This window comes from Homo sapiens, chromosome 6 (assembly GCF_000001405.40).
Source record: "Homo sapiens chromosome 6, GRCh38.p14 Primary Assembly".
Classification (NCBI taxonomy): Eukaryota; Metazoa; Chordata; class Mammalia; order Primates; family Hominidae; genus Homo; species Homo sapiens.
The window spans coordinates 139,769,428-139,786,993 of NC_000006.12; the positions used below are offsets into that span (position 1 = coordinate 139,769,428).

General features: G+C 38.9%; 1 long non-coding RNA gene across 1 annotated transcript in view, besides 1 other annotated feature; it reads left to right on the forward strand.

The window, feature by feature from the left end:
- Positions 939-1,116: a silencer, noted in NCBI's record as "fragment chr6:140091503-140091680 (GRCh37/hg19 assembly coordinates)". NCBI's record gives its function as "represses an EF-1alpha promoter that drives an FKBP-Casp9 reporter gene in an ReSE screen in phorbol 12-myristate 13-acetate-treated (for megakaryocytic differentiation) K562 erythroleukemia cells {active_cell/tissue: K562(+PMA)}" and the evidence as "EXISTENCE:reporter gene assay evidence [ECO:0000049][PMID:32094911]".
- The window catches only part of FILNC1 (FOXO induced long non-coding RNA 1), an 89,399-nt gene continuing 73,478 nt past the window's right edge, over positions 1,646-17,566 (forward strand). The window contains exon 1 of the long non-coding RNA NR_038399.2: positions 1,646-1,696. This is a non-coding gene — a long non-coding RNA (FOXO induced long non-coding RNA 1). The remainder of the gene's footprint in view (positions 1,697-17,566) is intronic.

Sequence of the window (17,566 nt, forward strand, 5' to 3'; positions counted from 1 at the left end):
TTATTTTTTTACATTCCATGTGCTTGAATAAAAAAGTGTACTGTGTACATAGGCAGGGGCAAGGACTTCATGTCTGAAATACCAAAAGCAATGGCAACAAAAGCCAAAATTGACAAATGGGATCTAATTAAATGAAAGAGCTTCTGCACAGCAAAAGAAACTACCATCAGAGTGAATAGGCAACCTACAGAATGGGAGAAAATTTTTGCAATGTGCTCATCTGACAAAGGGCTAATATCCAAAACCTACAAAGAACTCAAACAAATTTACAAGAAAAAAACAAACAACCCCATCAAAAAGTGGGCAAAGGATATGAACAGACACTTCTCAAAAGAAGACATTTATGCAGCCAACAGACACATGAAAAAATGCTCATCATCACTGGCCATCAGAGAAATGCAAATCAAAACCACAATGAGATACCATCTCACACCAGTTAGAATGGCAATCATTAAAAAGTCAGGAAACAACAGGTGCTGAAGAGGATGTGGAGAAACAGGAACACTTTTACACTGTTGGTGGGACTGTAAACTAGTTCAACCATTGTGGAAGACAGTGTGGCAATTCCTCAAGGATCTAGAACTAGAAATACCATTTTACCCAGCCATCCCATTGCTGGGTGTATACCCAAAGGATTATAAATCATGCCGCTATAAAGACACATGCACACATATGTTTATTGCGGCACTATTCACAATAGCAAAGACTTGGAACCAACCCAAATGTCCATCAATGATAGACTGGATTAAGAAAATGTGGCACATATACACCATGGAATACTATGCAGCAATAAAAAGGATGAGTTCATGTCCTTTGTAGGGACATGGTTGAAGCTGGAAACCATCATTCTCAGCAAAGTATCACAAGGACAAAAAACCAAACACCTCATGTTCTCACTCATAGGTGGGAATTGAACAATGAGAACACTTGGACACAGGCAGGGAACATCACACACTGGGGCCTGTCGTGGGTTGGGTGGAGGGGGGAGGGATGGCATTAGGAGATATACCTAATGTAAATGATGAGTTAATGGGTGCAACACACCAACATGGCACATGTATACATATGTAACAAACCTGCACGTTGCGCACGTGTACCGTAGAACTTAAAGTATAATTAAAAAAAAAAAAAAGTGTCCTGTGTGTTTTTTGTGAAAAAGCATTCCTAGGCCTGGTGCCGTGGCTCACGCCTGTAATCCCAGCACTTCGGGAGGCAGAGGTGGACGGATCACTTGATGTCAGGAGTTCAAAACCAGCCTGGCCAACACAGCAAAACCCCGTCTCTAGTAAAAATACAAAAATTAGCCGGGCGTGGTGGCGCATGCCTGTAATCCCAGCTACCTGGGAGGCTGAGGCAGGAGAATTGCTTGAACCCGGGAGGTAGAGACTGCAGTGAGCTGAGATCATGCCACTACACTCCAGCCTGGGTGACAGGGTGAAACTCTGTCTCCAGAAAAAATAAAATAAAATAAAATAAAATAAAAGAGAGATTCCTAGGCAGTATAAATTAAGCTTATTCATTCTCAATTTTTATTTTATTTTATTTTTTATTTTTGGTGTCCTTTGCAACTACTTGGTCCTTCTTCGTGGTTCCTCTTTCCTCTCTAAACTCTCTAACAGTTTTTCGTTCTTGTTGTCATCCGTAGGATTTGCAGAAAGAGCCAACAACTCCTACAGATGATGACAGTTCTCATTCTGTGAGTTTATCTGATCCTTATTTCATTTTATTAATACAACAATGGCAATTTTGGCTGCTTATACTTTTCCATTTGGCTGCTTGCTATAGAGCTAGAGGGACTTCAAAGAGACTCACATGAAATATTTTTGTTTTATAAGTAGAAAAGCTGAGGCCTAGAGAAGTTAATTCACTTTTATGAAACTCTCAACTAGTTAATCTAATTAGTTAATCACATTAGTTAATCTAGTCTATTAACACTTTTCTTAACCTGAAGTTGAAGTTAAAAATATCTTGACAGATCTAATGGTAAAATATAAGATTTGTGAATGTGCCTCTTAAGCAATGAATGTTTTACAAATGGAAGGAATTATTTTTGTAGCTCAGTACAATCTTCGCAATAGCAGAATTATTCTGAATTCCTGATGCATGTTTTAACTATTATTATGAACATGTATCAGACACATTGTTAACAAGAGTTTCTTATTTCAGAAATGATTCCAGTTCAGTAGAGAAGGCACCTACATAAATGAGAGATCTAAGATTGTTAGATAAGCGCCGTAAGATAAGAAAGCTATGGGTCAGAGGTTTTCTGGTGGAGAGAGTGTTCACTCTTCCGGGAGGTCAGGGGAGACTTCGCAGAGAGCAGGTCACACCCTCCGACACCTCTCAGTCAACACTGCATCCTTTACTTGAAATGATCTTTTCTCCTCCGTTCTCCGGTGAACACACACAGGAAACTATGTCTTTTGGTATTTCGTCAGAATATTTTGTGTGCTGTTGTAGAAGATTTTGTAGGGCTAAGTGGTTTTTGGACAGCCTTATGGATCATGTTTCTTGTAAAAAATGGAAAACCAGTGGAACATCTTAGGCAGGGAAACGGGTATGTGTCTGTAGTATTGATGCCTTAAGTATATTGAAACATCATTGGTGTATTCCTGCACAGACCCGGTACATTTGTTCGGACATTTACAGGAAACCTTTCATTACTATTAGGCTTAGGGTTCCAACTTCGTTTTATTCATGATCATGCCTCATCCTTGTACAATCACGTCCCTAGTGAAGCTATAATAAAAGTAAGATGCCAAGAACTCAGGTATGGAAGAGAAAAAGTTTGTCAAGATTCTGAAAGAAATTAGGGAAATCACTTAAGTTCTCCAGGCTTGTTAACTCCTCATCTTTCTTCCAAAAATTTTCTTTTGTTGGCCGAGTGCCGTGGCTCATGCCTGTAATCCCAGCACTCTGGGAGGTCGAGGCGGGCGGATCATGAGGTCAGGAGATCGAGACCATCCTGGCTAACACAGTGAAACCCCGTCTCTACTAAAAATACAAAAAATCAGCTGGGCGTGGTGGTGGGAGCCTGTAGTCCCAGCTACTCTGGAGGCTGAGGCAGGAGAATGGCGTGAACCCGGGAGGCGGAGCTTGCAGTGAGCAGAGATGGCGTCACTGCACTCCATCCTGGGCGACAGGGCTAGACTCCATTTCAAAAAAAAATTTTTTTTTTGGTCTATCTTTTCTTCTTCTCTTCTCTGTCTCTTTCCTTCCTTTCTCTTTTTCTCTCCCCTCCCTCCTTCCTTCTCCCTCTCCTTCCCTTTCTTCTACCTTCTTTTTTTTTCCTTGTTCCTTCAACATAGAGCATAAATTCTATATATTTTTTTCTTTCTGGTTAGTCTTTTTGAATGAAGATGGTGTTATAGCAGTTCACACTCTATATCCATGAAGAAGAGTTTACTGGTAAACCATGAACTAGCCAGGGCTCATTTCAACCTGAGACAGAGTCAAACCTCTAAGCTTCTTGACTTGGAGTTTATTGTATTTTAGTAGTTTATACCCTGTTTATTCAATGGGAATAAAAGTCCGTTTTTAAAGAATAAAATAAACTGAAATAAACTTCAGCCCCAAAACTGCTTTTCTTAAGCACTAAAACAAAAATTTTCCATAGGCACAAAAATATTGAGAAACAATGATTTTTCATGTTGGCTCAGAATTGCTTGCATTTGCGTTACTATAATTATGTATCACCCAGAATGGTAGCCCTGGTTTATTTTGTCATTACTCCATGTGCCTCTGTAGTTTTATACAAGTGGTAGTGGTGACTTGGTTATTGTTCTGAGTTTTATTGCATTTTATATTGTGTGTTTTGTTTTGTTTTGTTTTGTATTATTCCAAGTTTGTATTGTGGTTCTGTCTTTCTAATTTTATTTTGTCTACTTTATTTGAATTATTCATACTGCATTATAACATCAAATGAGTAGAAAATTAATATTCTTCTCCCAAATAATTACAATTTTATACAGCTTAAAGTTGTGAATAATCATACTTAAATCATAGTTTCAATTTGGTTACTTTAAGACATTTAAGGCTATTCTTCTATTTTCTCTTTAAAATTCAGAAAGTCCAGCAGTATGACTTTGTATGTGTGTGTGTGTGTTCATGGGGGAGCCCTTTAGATATTAATTTAGATATTAAGTAATTCATCCAACCTGTGAGTTTGCAGAACCAGGACTAGAACTCAGATCTTTTGAGTCCTAACGCATCTTTCTATCTTTCCTCTACTATTCAGCCCTTCACATAATTAATACATTAGTCCCATCCTTATCCTCATTAGACACTTCCTATCACCCTCAGTGTATACCTGAGTATTTGGATAGTATACACTCTGTTTTTTCTTTTTTTCTTTTTTTTTTTTTTTTTTTTGAGACAGGGCTTTGCTCTGTCGCCCAGGCTAGAGGCTAGAGTGCAGTGGCATGATCTCAGCTCACTGCAACCTCTGCCTTTTGGGTTCAAGCAATTCTCCTGCCTTAGCCTCCCAAGCAGCTGGGATTACAGGTGCATGCCACCACACCTGGCTAATTTTTTTGTATTTTTAGTAGAGATGGGGTTTCACCATGTTGGCCAGGCTGGTCTTGAACTCCTGACCTCAGGTGATCCACCTGCCTCGGCCTCCCAAAGTGCTGGGATTACAGGTGTGAGCCACCGTGCCAGGCGTGTTTTTTCTTATACATATATACCTATGATGATAATTTATAAATTAGGCATAGTAAGAGATTAACAACAATAAGTAATAATAAAACAACAATTATAACAATATATTCTAATAAAAGTTATGTGAATGTGGTCTCTGTCTCTCAAAATATCTTCTTGTACTTTAGGTAACTGAAAACCATGAAAAGCAAAATGCGGATAAGGGTTCGGGGTGGGGTGATTACTGTATACCCAGTCAATTGCCTTGGTCTGTGAAAGTTAAGTAAAATAATTTTAGGTTGTCAAATCTAGTCCACCATGAACATTGCAAAGGCACAGATCAGGGCAGGTGAGTAACATTAACCATTCTATAGTTATAAGGTGGGTATTTGTGCCTGCTTGGGCATCAAGGTATAAATCACAAAATTTATAATAACATAACTTATCAACAAATATTTTCAAATTATAACACACTTTATTGGGTCAGAATACTTTTTGGATAATTTATAGGGTTGGTTTGTCCACACTACTTCTCTTATAAATCAGCTATAAGAATGAAGCTCACTTTCTTTAGATCACACAACAATGGAGACAGAAGTGTCTGAGAATGTTCATTTCTTTCACTCACTTGAACTATGATAGTACAAAACTTTTCCAAGTAGATGGATAATTACCCTATATTTAAGACTCCATAATTTTGTAAAATAACCTTTTAATTTGATCCCAGTAGATGGATATTTAATTAACCTCATACAAAGATCAGGAAGATATAATTTTTGCATTTTTACAGTTTAAAATCTGAAGAAATAATATGATCAATACTTTTGATTATTATAGGCATATTATGATACTGGTCATAAAGTACATGTAAAAAACATGTCCTGGAAAATCAAAGTGATAAAGTATCTGTAGCTTAGGCACATCAGAAAAGGCTTCCTGGTAGAAGGCATTAAGATGACATTGAGCAGGGCACCGTAGCTCATGCCTGTAGTCCCAGCATCTTGGGAGGCTGAGGTGGGAGGATCGCTTGAGGCCAGGAGTTCAAGGTTGCAGTGAGCTATGATTGTGCCACTGCACTTCAGCCTGGGTGACAGAGCAAGATCTTGTCTCTAAAAACAGATATATAAAAGGTGAACATCAAAGGATGTGTGGGAGTTCAAGAACGACCTGGTGAGGGAGGGAAGGACTGGCAGTGAAGTGCATGTAAGAAGCGGAGGTCTGGAGTCACTGGAGTGCGCGACATGATCAGAATGGGAGCTCAGGTCCCAGCTAGGGAAGCCCTGCGAGGTAAACCTGCACACATAGCAGAGGCAGAGTGGAGACAACCTCAATGCCAAAGTGAGGAATTTGCAAATTACTCTATAGGGCAATTCTGGGGAATCAATGCGTATTTTCGAGGCAAAGAGCAACCAGATGGGGACAATACTTTAGAAAGAAAGATGTCTTGGGTGGGTTGAGTAACAGGGATTGAAAGGGGAGGGTAACTGGAAGCAGGAAGGACAGAGACAGGAGATCAGAGGCGGGTGGTAATGGAAAAGGGTTTGGAGGGAAGTGGATGACGGCGAGGACTTTCCCAGACTTGGCCACTGATTTGACGAAAGGGGAAAAGGAGACAAAGTTAAAAAAAATGACACCTTCCCCTGGTGTTTCTGTCTGGGTGACTGGTAGCATGATGGCTCCATGAGAAGAACAAAGAAGTCTGAGAAGCAGCTTTTGGGGTGGAGGTGAGGGTTATGGATGGTAAAGAAAAGATCTCTTTACATCTAAACTAAATGCTTCATACCTCAGCTTAAACCACTGGACAAATAAAGGATTTAACACCTGATCCTTTGTTTTTCATGGGGCCTATGTGATTTTTGTGTGTGTGTGTGCTGCCTTTTGCTTACAGTCTATATTAAAATAATTAGGCTTATCTTGCAATTGAAGCAATATTATAGTTTCCTGAGTTGGAAAATAGTGACAATAACAATAATAATATGAGCAACAATCACAACAACCACCGTCACAACAAACCCAGCAAGAACAGTGATTTTGCAGCCTTCTGTTGTTCACGACTGCACGAAACTATACTCATTATATTGCTTTCCACTCTTTGACTCCATGCCAAACTTCAGCCTGCTTAGGGTCAGAGCTTGCTGGGAGTGTGCCGCCTGCTACATTGTGTGTGCTGTACTGGGATCAAAGCATTCTTTCTCGTTCCTCATCTACCTCTTCTCCCTACTGCTTGTCTGCCTTCTCCTGCAGGGGGTCAGACTGGCCACATTTGCACGTCTCAGTGCATAGCCCTTTTATACAAAGTTTTCTTTGTTAATCAGGAGAAGTGAATGCAAATCCTCTCTCTGTACAATGAACTGCTTTGAGAAGAAGGTGTGACAGTGATATAATGACCTGGTGAATTTTCAGACAAGGAGGATCAAAATTTCTTGATTTATTTTCTAAAGATTAATATTTGAGAGATGTGTGTGTGTGTGTGTCCACATTCTTCCTCTGGAAGACAATGTCATTATGCAATAGAGTTCTTGAATTCTCTCCTTTTCCATGTTTATATCTGAATTATCCTTTATACTTGGGTGTCAGAGCAAGATTTTGTTGTTGCTGAAACCGCAGGATATGCAATCTGTGTGTCTTCGGCTGGTTAATGAGCTTTAATACCTAACCTTAGCGGGTCACTCTCACAGTCCCTGGTAGGGCCTAGAGGGGTACACGGGGCTACCTCCCCCTTATTAGCCATGAAGCCAGAGTAGACTGAAACATAAGCACTACCTTCCATCATGTTTCTCTGTAAGATATTAATAAAAACACAGTGGCTGCTCATTCTGCCTTTCAGTTTTACTTGTCATTACTTCTTGCACCAATCAAGCAAACAGTTGGTAATCATTTAATGGAAGTTCAGGTAAGTTACAAGGTGGTCTTTTGAACAGCCTGGCAGTCTTTGGCTATGGATTATACTTGAAGATCTTGGATGACACCCTAGGTAGTTATTAAATGTTAAAAAACAGACACAAAATGAAGAGGTCTGTGTTATGTTTTACTTAATTTCTTTTTTTGTTAGCATAGTAGAATCAAAAAGATGGTCGCTTCATTTGACCTTCTCTCCATGGGAATAGTAACTATAATGGGTTTAATTAACTATGTGGCATTGATGTAATTAGTTATCCTGGTGATTATACTTCTTTAATAAAAGCACTTCATTTGAGATGCATTGGTGTTCTGCAATGGCCGAGCCCTACACCTATATTTCATAACTGTCTAGACAGGGCAACTGTGTGCATATTTTACCAACAGCCCTTGAGAGAGGTTATCTTGCATGTCTTAAGGTAATTGGGAACTAATGATTTTGCCCCCTGGTTTCAGGCTCTTGCAGCAGAGAGCAGAGACGCTGTGGGGGAGGGGTGGCCGCTCATTTTGTGTACACTAAAAGGGCGGGGGAAGGGCTGTGTTTTGGAAACCATATGCTCTTAGGAACTGTTTCTCTTTAAGCTAGCAGTCAGAGAGACAGTATCACCAGAGGGAATTGGGGGTGTTTAATCTATGGGTGGACTGCATAAATACATTTCAATAAATGTACACAGTGTATAGGGACATATGCTCATATTAATAGGAATCCTGAGTGTACACATGTCTATTAAGAAACATGCAGTACATTTCGGTATTAAAAGTAGATCACTGCTTAGATTTGGTCAGCAGGTGACTGGCAATGTCCCTTTCACACGGCTCAGTAGACAATGAAGTCAGGCTGTATGGAAAAAAATAGGGCAAATATAAAAGAAGAAACATATAATGCAAAAATTACCATATGAAAATGTCAATAATAGTATCACAAGAAGCCCCAAAGAAGAGAACAAAAGCAAAAAGATTATCTAGCTGTGCCCAGCCCCATCCACAGCAAACATGGTGTCTGAACCCCCTTAGTTTTCTCAATATTCAAACTTGGGTAATGGAAGGGGAGGGGGCAAGGATGGGCATGGGAACAGAATGGTGTGGACAGAAAGGGGATTTTAAAAACCTAGCTGAAGTAGATGCAGCTGAGAAATAATAGGCTCTGCAGATGATCTTTTTTGCCGGTAGAAGTACTATTTCTTTTCCAGTCTGCTTTCTTTGACTCTCCTTCTTTTTTCAAAGAAATGCTTTCCCTGTCACCTCTTCCAGCAGCTCTTTATCCTGCAGAACTGTGTATCCTCCCATCCGCGTCTCTCCTGCTTTCTCCCTGTCTGGAGACACACACTGAAATCACTGCAGGCATTTGACTGCTTCATGCAGCATGGCAAGGAACACTGTGGGTCATTCTAACAGCCAAACCCATAAACAAGCACCACTGAAAAACCAAACAAATGTAGAAGAAGTGCCTCAGTGGAGGTACCTGCCAACAAGACTTGTTCCTTTGCCACGAGGGATGCTCCAGCAAAAGCCTCCATCCCTCATTAAATCAATAAAATCAAATGTCCTTTATTTTAATCCTCTGCACTGTAATCCAGTAGCAAGGAGAGGGGCCCAGGCTTTTCATCTCATTGTTTCAAAACAGATCGTTTGGTAGGAATTGACAAAAGGTTCATTCCTTTACCTTTGTGGAAATGTCAGTAAAAAGGCAGGTGCTGGGCATTCGGACTCTTTTGCTTAGTAGAAGAAAAAAAGGGGTGTGTGGGGGGTGGGGGTGGCATTGGGGGTGGGGGGAGGGATCTGTGACAGGCTGACTACATGAACCAAAGCTTTCTAAGACATTTTGTTTAGCTTGATATTGTGCAGCAGTGAGAAGAGAGGTGGAATCTATTGTGTGCCAGCTGCATGAATCACCGGATTGAAGTCTAACAGCCTCAGATCCTCTTTTATACAGTAGAGGGGAGATTAAAGCAGGGAGCTCATATGTCACAAAATAGAGGTACAATGTAGTTCTGGCTTGCTTAGTGCACTTAGCCGGCGTTGGATCCAAATTTAGCCAAAGGGAAAGAACGTGCACTGCTATCAGCCAGGGAGGTGACAAATGTTGAGCTGTAATATCCAAAATTCCTTTTCGTTTTCCAAAATGTCATCTCTTCTTTGTCAGCTTCATTATGATTGAATCTATGTATAGTCACAGACCAACTGGAAACAAACAAAAACACCCAAACCCTAGATAAATTATTCCACACCTGTGTCTTCCTAAGCTGTGTAATTGATACAGAGCATAGGGAAGTTTTGTATCTGGGACTGTAAACCTCATTTATCTAATACATGTTTGTCGAGTGCTATGGTTAAGTGCATTCTAGAAGCTGAAAGGGATATACAAGGAATCTAATATATATTCTTCTACTGTCCAAAAGCTGGCAATCTTCTTAAAGAGATAAGATAGACAGACCGAAAGACATAACCATATACACACCCTTTCAGGAACAAAGGCTGTGGGCCATTTTGGTAAATGACTAAATATGGGAAGATGAAAAGTGCTGTAGAAATCAGAAGAAGTGAACTTTTAGCTGAAACAAACAAACAAAAAAATAGAATAGAGAGTGTTTGCAGTACTCAGTAGTTTTTGGAATCTTACATGCCCTACGTCGTGGAGCACAGTGTATTTATATTTGTATCATTTCCATTTAATAGGTAAAGAAACTGAAGCCCAGAGAGGTAAGTAACTTTTCCAGAGTCATGCAGTTAATAAGAGGCAGAGCAGGAATTTAAACTTACAACCTATTACTGTTTTTTTGTTTGGTTTTGTTTTTTGTTTTTGTTTTTTTGAGAGAGAGAGAGAGCGTTTCACTCTGTCATCCAAGCTGGAGTGCAGTGGCATGATCTTGGCTCATGGTGGCCTCAACCTCCTGGGCTCAGGTGATCCTCCTGCCTTAGCCCCCCAAAATAGCTGGAACTAGAGGTATGCACCACCACTCTAGGCTAATTTTTGTATTTTTTTGTAGAGATGGGGTCTCGCCATATTGCCCAGGTTGATCTTGAATTCCTGAGCTCAAGCAGTCTGCCCCCCTCAACTTCCCAAAGTGCTGGGATTACAGGCGTGAACCACCAAGCCCAGCCCCAAACTATAATACAACTCTTAAACTACATCTGCAACTCTCTTGGCAAAAGGCTGAAAGGGAGACTCTGAAGGAGCAACCAACCTGGCATCTCTCCCCTCCTTACTAAGGGAATTCTCCATCTGTTCTCAGTGAAACTTTCAGGTCCTTATCAAATCAGGAACAAAATGTTATTTCTACTGATGGCTTGTCTAAGGTCAAATAGATTATTAGTGTAGACATGAGACTACAATTTGTCTTTGAGGCCCAGTCCAGTGTCTTTCTGACAGTTCCCACTGCGTTTCTCGCCTTCACGTGGACCTTCACCATTGATTCCTAAGATCTACCAAATCTTTACTGTGTTTTCCATGCCTATCACACCTCTACTATCTGCGTTTCTTTTTGCTTTATGGAGGACACTTCAACGAAAAGGGAGAGCCATGTAGCCCTGGCCATCTACACCGTCAAGGACTCCAATTACACCTGAGTGGTCACATCTGCTTGCTGACTGTGCTAGTCATCTCTTTCTGAGGCTTCCAGGAGCCATTCCAGGCATTCTCTGTTTTCAAGCCCGCAATGCAACTGGTAAATGATCTCATATCTTAATGAGAACATCTGGCATGTGATACCTCATCTTCACCTTAATAACAACTTCCAACTCCCATCTCAGCACTCCCTCAGTACCCTGCCCAGAGAGGTAAGTAACTTGCCCAGAGTCACACAGTTAATAAGAGGCAGGGCAATAATTTAGACTTTGCCAGAAGAGCTGCCCCTCTCTGGCTTTTTTACACTAAATGGTGGGATCACTGAGGATTGGCTTTGGAGCTTGTGTCCTTTTTTGCCCTCAAGATTTCCCCCACTCTATTTCTGAAGCTCTAGGTCTGTATACCACTGCTACAATCCTTATTCAAAACCTGAACTTGGTGAAGACCTGATAAACACAGGATTGTAAAAATCTTTAAAAAGACTCAGTATGTTATTTTTCTCAATACAAGAGCTTTTAATTTTTTTTTAATAGGAGAAAGAATCCACATGCCAAAGGACACATTTATGATTGTGGGGCATCAGACACCACTGTGAATGACTGAGATATTTGGGGGGCAATGGTACTCAAAGCACAGGATCTCACAGAGTAGGTCACCTCCTCTGTCAACATATACATGGACAGCCTGCCCCGATGATCACCACAGAGATAAATCTTCAACCTGAAGAGCTTTTTCCATTCCTTTTAGCTCAGGAAAGATGTGTTCTCATTTTTATCTGGCACTTTCTCTGGCTTTTTAAAAAATCTCTAGTTCTCCACTCTACATGAATACCTCCCTTTGCCTTCACTTCAAGGATGCACAGGTTCACAAAACTTGATAATCCTTCATCTGATTCTGGTGCATATTCTAACAATTCTGTTTGTTTCCTCTTTTACTGTCCACACTTTGAAGTGCATATTTTAAATACCCTATTTCTCCATCTCTCAATGCCTGCTCATTCCTTAAAAGTTTGACTAACTTCAAATCAGCAAAACTTGGGGAAATCTACTAAGTCCTTATTCTTCTTTATGTCTTAAAAATTTAACTCTTTTAACAATCCTATCTTCTAGAATAATTATTCTTAATCCTACCAAACCCTCACCCCACTTTAAAACTAATCCTTAGAATGCTGCCCTATCATGTTGAAATAAAATGCATTGGTGATATAATTGTCCTACTCACACAATTTTAATAACTCAGCATAATGCTTTAACTATATACAAATGGATTAATTTATGATAAAATAATATGCATCAATGCACAGAGTCATCATTAATATGATACAAATGCAGATTGATACAAATGTGATTCAAATACCATGAACAGCACTGTTAGAAGAAATGTCAATTATTGGACTTTTAAACAACGTTTGGTAAGGATTCAAACCAAGCAAACTAAAGAACTACATAGTAGTTGTATTTCTGGAAAATTTGGTATATTTAATAACATGTAAACATATTTGGATTTTTATGAATAAGTTAGGTCCTAGACTAAAGTCATTTTAAACAGATATTTCTACATGTATGAATGTCCGTGAGTCATTCAAAAGTTTGTTTTGATGCAAAACAATTCTTCTACCTGTAGGACTGTCTGATACACTGCAAGATATCTAGCCTCCTTTCCTACTCCCCCAACACGAAATGTAAAAACATCTTCCAGTATTGCTGTCAACCAAAAATTTCTAAAATACCTCTTAGTGGGTGGTGGTGAAGTACCTCTTGAAAACTACTATTCTGTATTAGCTTATCTTTAGCCCAAGTGGCATTCCTCTGTTCATTCCTGCATTTCTGATCCATCTTTTTCCTTTGGTGACTTCTTGTCCCCTTTCTCCTAGGTAATTTTAACTGTAGACCTTCTTCAAGTCATGCTCCTTGGACATCTATTACTCTCTTTATCTTTCAGTTTCATTGAGGCACGATGTATATACAATACAATTTACCATTTTTTTTTTTTTTTTTTTTTTTTTTTTTTGAGACGGAGTCTCGCTCTGTCACCCAGGCTGGAGTGCAGTGGTGCGATCTCAGCTCACTGCAAGCTCCGCCTCCCGGGTTCACGCCATTCTCCTGCCTCAGCCTCCTGAGTAGCTGGGACTACAGGCGCCCGCCACCACGCCCGCCTAATTTTTTTTTTGTATTTTTTAAGTAGAGACGGGATTTCACCGTGTTAGCCAGGATGGCCTCGATCTTCTGACCTCGTGATCCACCCGCCTCGGCCTCCCAAAGTGCTGTGATTACAGGCGTGAGCCACTACACCCAGCCTACAATTTATCATTTTTAAGTGTACAAAGCATTGAAGTAAATGCATGCAGCCATTTAACCCTCACCAACCACAGTTACGATGTAGAATACTCCCAACACTTTTGTTTCCTCTGCCTTTTTCCACTCAATCTCCTCCCCACAAACCTAACCCCTTATAAACCCTTATCATTTATCTGTGTCTAGAGTTTGGCCTGTTCTAGAATTTCATATAAGTGGAATCATACAGCATTTAGTGTTTTAGGTTTAGCTTTTTAAATTTAGCATAATGTTTTAGATATTTATGCACATCATGAATACAGCAGTAATATGTTTCTGAGTGGTAATTTGTTTATGAATAGTATTCCATTGTATGAGGTACCAAATTTGTTTATCCATTCACTTGCTGATGGATACCGGAGTATTTGTAGTTTGGCCTACAATAAATAAAGATATTCTAAACAACTAAGAAATATATTTTCATTTCTGTTGGGTAACAGTACCCAGGAGAGTTACTCTTGGTATATATAATAAGCATATACTTTATATCATAAGAAATGACTAAAATATTTTCCAAAGTGGATGTGCCATTTTGCATTCACACCAGCAATATCCAATTTTTAGTTATTCTACATCCTCACCCACTTTTTAGTCTACTTTAATCATTCTTGTGGGTTCTTAGTGGTATTTCATGATAGCTTTAATCTGCATTTTTCTAATGGCTACTGATGTTGAGCATCCGTTCATACACATATTTTCAATTTATATGATTTTTTGAGATGTGTCTGTTCAAACTTTTGTCTGTTTTCTAAGTAGATTGTTTCTTTTCTTATTATTTAGTTGTATAATTTTTAAATATATACTTGATATGTCATTTGTGAGCTACATGTTTTGAAAATATTTTCTCCCAGATGGTGACTTGTCCATTTCTATTTTAATGATATCTTTTTTTTTTTTAATTTTTAATTTAGGTTCTGGGGTACATGAGCAGGTTTGTTTTATAGGTAAATTGCATATCATGGGGGTTTGGTGTACAATTTTGTCACCCAGTTAATCAGCATAATACCTGATAGGTAATTTTTTGATCTTCACCCTCCTCCCACCCTTTACGCTATAGGTCCCACTGTCTGTTGTTCCCTTTTTGTGTCCATGTGTATGTAAGGTTTAGCTCCCACTTATAAGTAAGAACGTGATATTTGGTTTTCTGCTCCTGTGTTAGTTTGCCCAGGATAATGGCCTCCAATCTATGTTGCTGCAAAGGACATAATCTTATTCTTTTTCATGGCTGTGTAGTATCCCATGGTGTATTTGTACCAAATTTTCTTTATCCAGTCTACCACTGATGGGCATCTAGGTTGACTCTATGTCTTTGCTATAGTGAATAGTGCTGTGATGGACATATGCATGTGTATGTTTTTAAGACAGAATTATTTGTATTTCTTTGGATATACCTAATAATGAGATTTCCAGGTTGAATGATAATTCTGTTTTAAGTTCTTTGAAAAATCAACAAATTGCTTTCCACAATGGCTGAACTGATTTACAATTCGCACTAGCAGTGTATAAGTCATCCTTTTTCTCTGCAACTTTGCCAAAATCTATTACTTTTTGACTTTTTAATAAGAGCTATTGCAACTGGTGTGAGATGGAATCTCATCATGGTTTTGATTTTCAGTTCTCTGATTATTAGTGATGTTGAGCATTTTGTCATATCCTTGTTGGCCACATGTATGTCTTATTTTGAAAAGTGTATGTTCATGTCCTTTGCTCAGTTTTTAATGGAGTTTTTGTTTTTTTGCTTGTAAATTTGTTTTAGTTCCGTATAGATGCTGGACATCAGATCTTTGTGGGATGCATAGTTTTCAAATATTTCCTACCACTCTGTAGATTGTCTGTTTACTCTGGCAATAGTTCCTTCTGCTTTGCAGAAGCTGTTAAGTTTAATTAGGTCTCTTTTGTCAAATTTTGTTTTTGTTGCAATTGCTCTTGGCATTTTTGTCACAAAATCTTTGCCTAGGCCTAAGTATGGAATAGTATCTCCTAGGTTGTCTTCCAGGATTTTTATAGTTTTAGGTTTTACATTTAAGTCATTATCCATCTTGAGTTGATTTTTGTATATAGTATAAGAAAGGGGTCCAGTTTCAATCTTCTGCAACAGGCTAGCCAGTTATCTCAGCACCATTTATTGAATAGGGAGCTTTTCCCCATTGCTTATTTTTGTCAACTTTGTCAAAGATGAGATGGTCTTAGATATGTGTCCTTATTTCTGGGCTCTCTATTCTGTTTCATTGGTCCATGTGCCTGTTTTTGTACAGCATCATGCTGTTTTGGTTACTGAAGCCCTGTAGTGTACTTTGAAGTTGGGTAATGTTATGCCTCCAGCTTTGTTCCTTTTGCTTAAGTTTGCCTTGGCTATTTGGGCCTTTTTTGTTGTTTTTGTTCCATATGAATTTTTAAATAGTTTTTTTTTCTAGTTCTCTTAATAATGTCATTGGTAGTTTGATAAAAATAGCATTGAATCTGTAGATTGCTTGGGGCAATATGGGCATTTTAATGATACTGATTCTTCCTATCCATGGACAAGGAATGTCTTTTCATTTGTTTGTGTCATCTATGATTCCTTTGAGCAGTGTTTTGTAATTCTTGTTGTAGAGACATTTCACTTCCCTGGTTAGCTGGATTCCTCGGTATTTTATTCTTTTTGTGGCTATTGTGAAGAGATTGCATTCTTGATTTGGCTCTTAGCTTGGGTATTCTTGGTGTATAGCAATGCTACCAAGGCTTCACATAGCTCTGTGTGTTAGACTGAAGGCCTTTGTGGAGTGAGTTTATGAGGGGATCTCCTGAGCCAAGGGTTGCAATGATCTGTGGGAGAAGCATGGGTTCCTGGTGTTGCACATTCACTAACCACTTCCCTGGGCAGCGGAGGTTCCCCTAGCTCTGTGTTGCTCCTGGGTGGGCCATTGTCCTGCCTTGCTTTTCTTTGTTCTTCCAGGGTAAAGTTGTTTCCTTAATTAGTCCCAATGTGTGTATCTGGATGTTTCAGTTGAAGGTGCTGTATTTTATTTGCCCTTCCATTCCTCTCTGTGAGAGCTGTGCACACTAGCTGCTTCTAGTGGGCCATCTTGGCCACCTATTTTTTTTTTTTTTTTTTTTTTAATCTCAATTTCTTTTAGTTCAGGTCTGTTTTTAGTTATTTCTTTTCTTCTGCTAGCTTTGGGTTAGGTTTGCTCTTGTTTTTTATGTCCTCTAGGTGTGATATTAGCTTGTTAATTTTTGTTTTTGTTGTTCACCCAAAAGGTCATACACAAAATTAAGGAAGAAATCAAGAAATTCTTTGAAGCTAACAAGCAGGTTTTTAAATTTTCATTGAATTGTATGGTTTGTGATTTTCACTGAGAAACTGATTTCTATTTTTATTGTACTAGGGTCCAGGAATGTATTAATAGTTGATATAAACCCAGGTTTTTGAATTTGCTGAGGTTTGTTTTATGGCCAGTTGTGTGGCTGATTTTATAGTATGTACCATGTACAGATAAGAAGAATGTATATTCTTTTGTTTTGGGGTGGAGAATTCTGTAGATGTCTATCAGGTCCATTTGATCAAGTGTTGAGTTCAGATCCTGAATATCTTTGTTAGTTTCTGCCTCATTGATGTGTTTAATACTGTCAGTGGGGTGTTGAGGTCTCATACTATTATTTTGTGATTATCTAAGACTCTTTGTAGATCTCTAAGAATTTGTTTTATCAATCTGGGTGCTCTTGTCTTGGGTGCATATATATTTAGCATAGTTAGGTCTTCTTGTTGAATTGAATCCTTTACCATTATGTAGTGTCCTTCTTCGTTCTATTTTATTATTTTTGGTTTAAAGTCCATTTTTCTTGAAGTTAGAATAGCAAACTCTGTCTTCTGTTTGCTTGGTAGATTTTTTTTTTCCATCCCTTTACTTTCAGCCTATGGGTGTCATTGCATGTGAGATGGGTTCCTTGAAGACAGCATACAATTGGTTTTGCTACTTTATTCAACTTGCCACTCTGTGCCTTTTAATTGAGGCATGGAGACCATTTACATTCAAAGTTAATATTGATATGTGCAGATTTGGTGCTGTCATTGTGTTGTTACCTGATTATTATGCAGACTTGATTGTGTGGTTTCTTTGTAGTGTCAATGGTCTATGTACTTAAGTGTGTT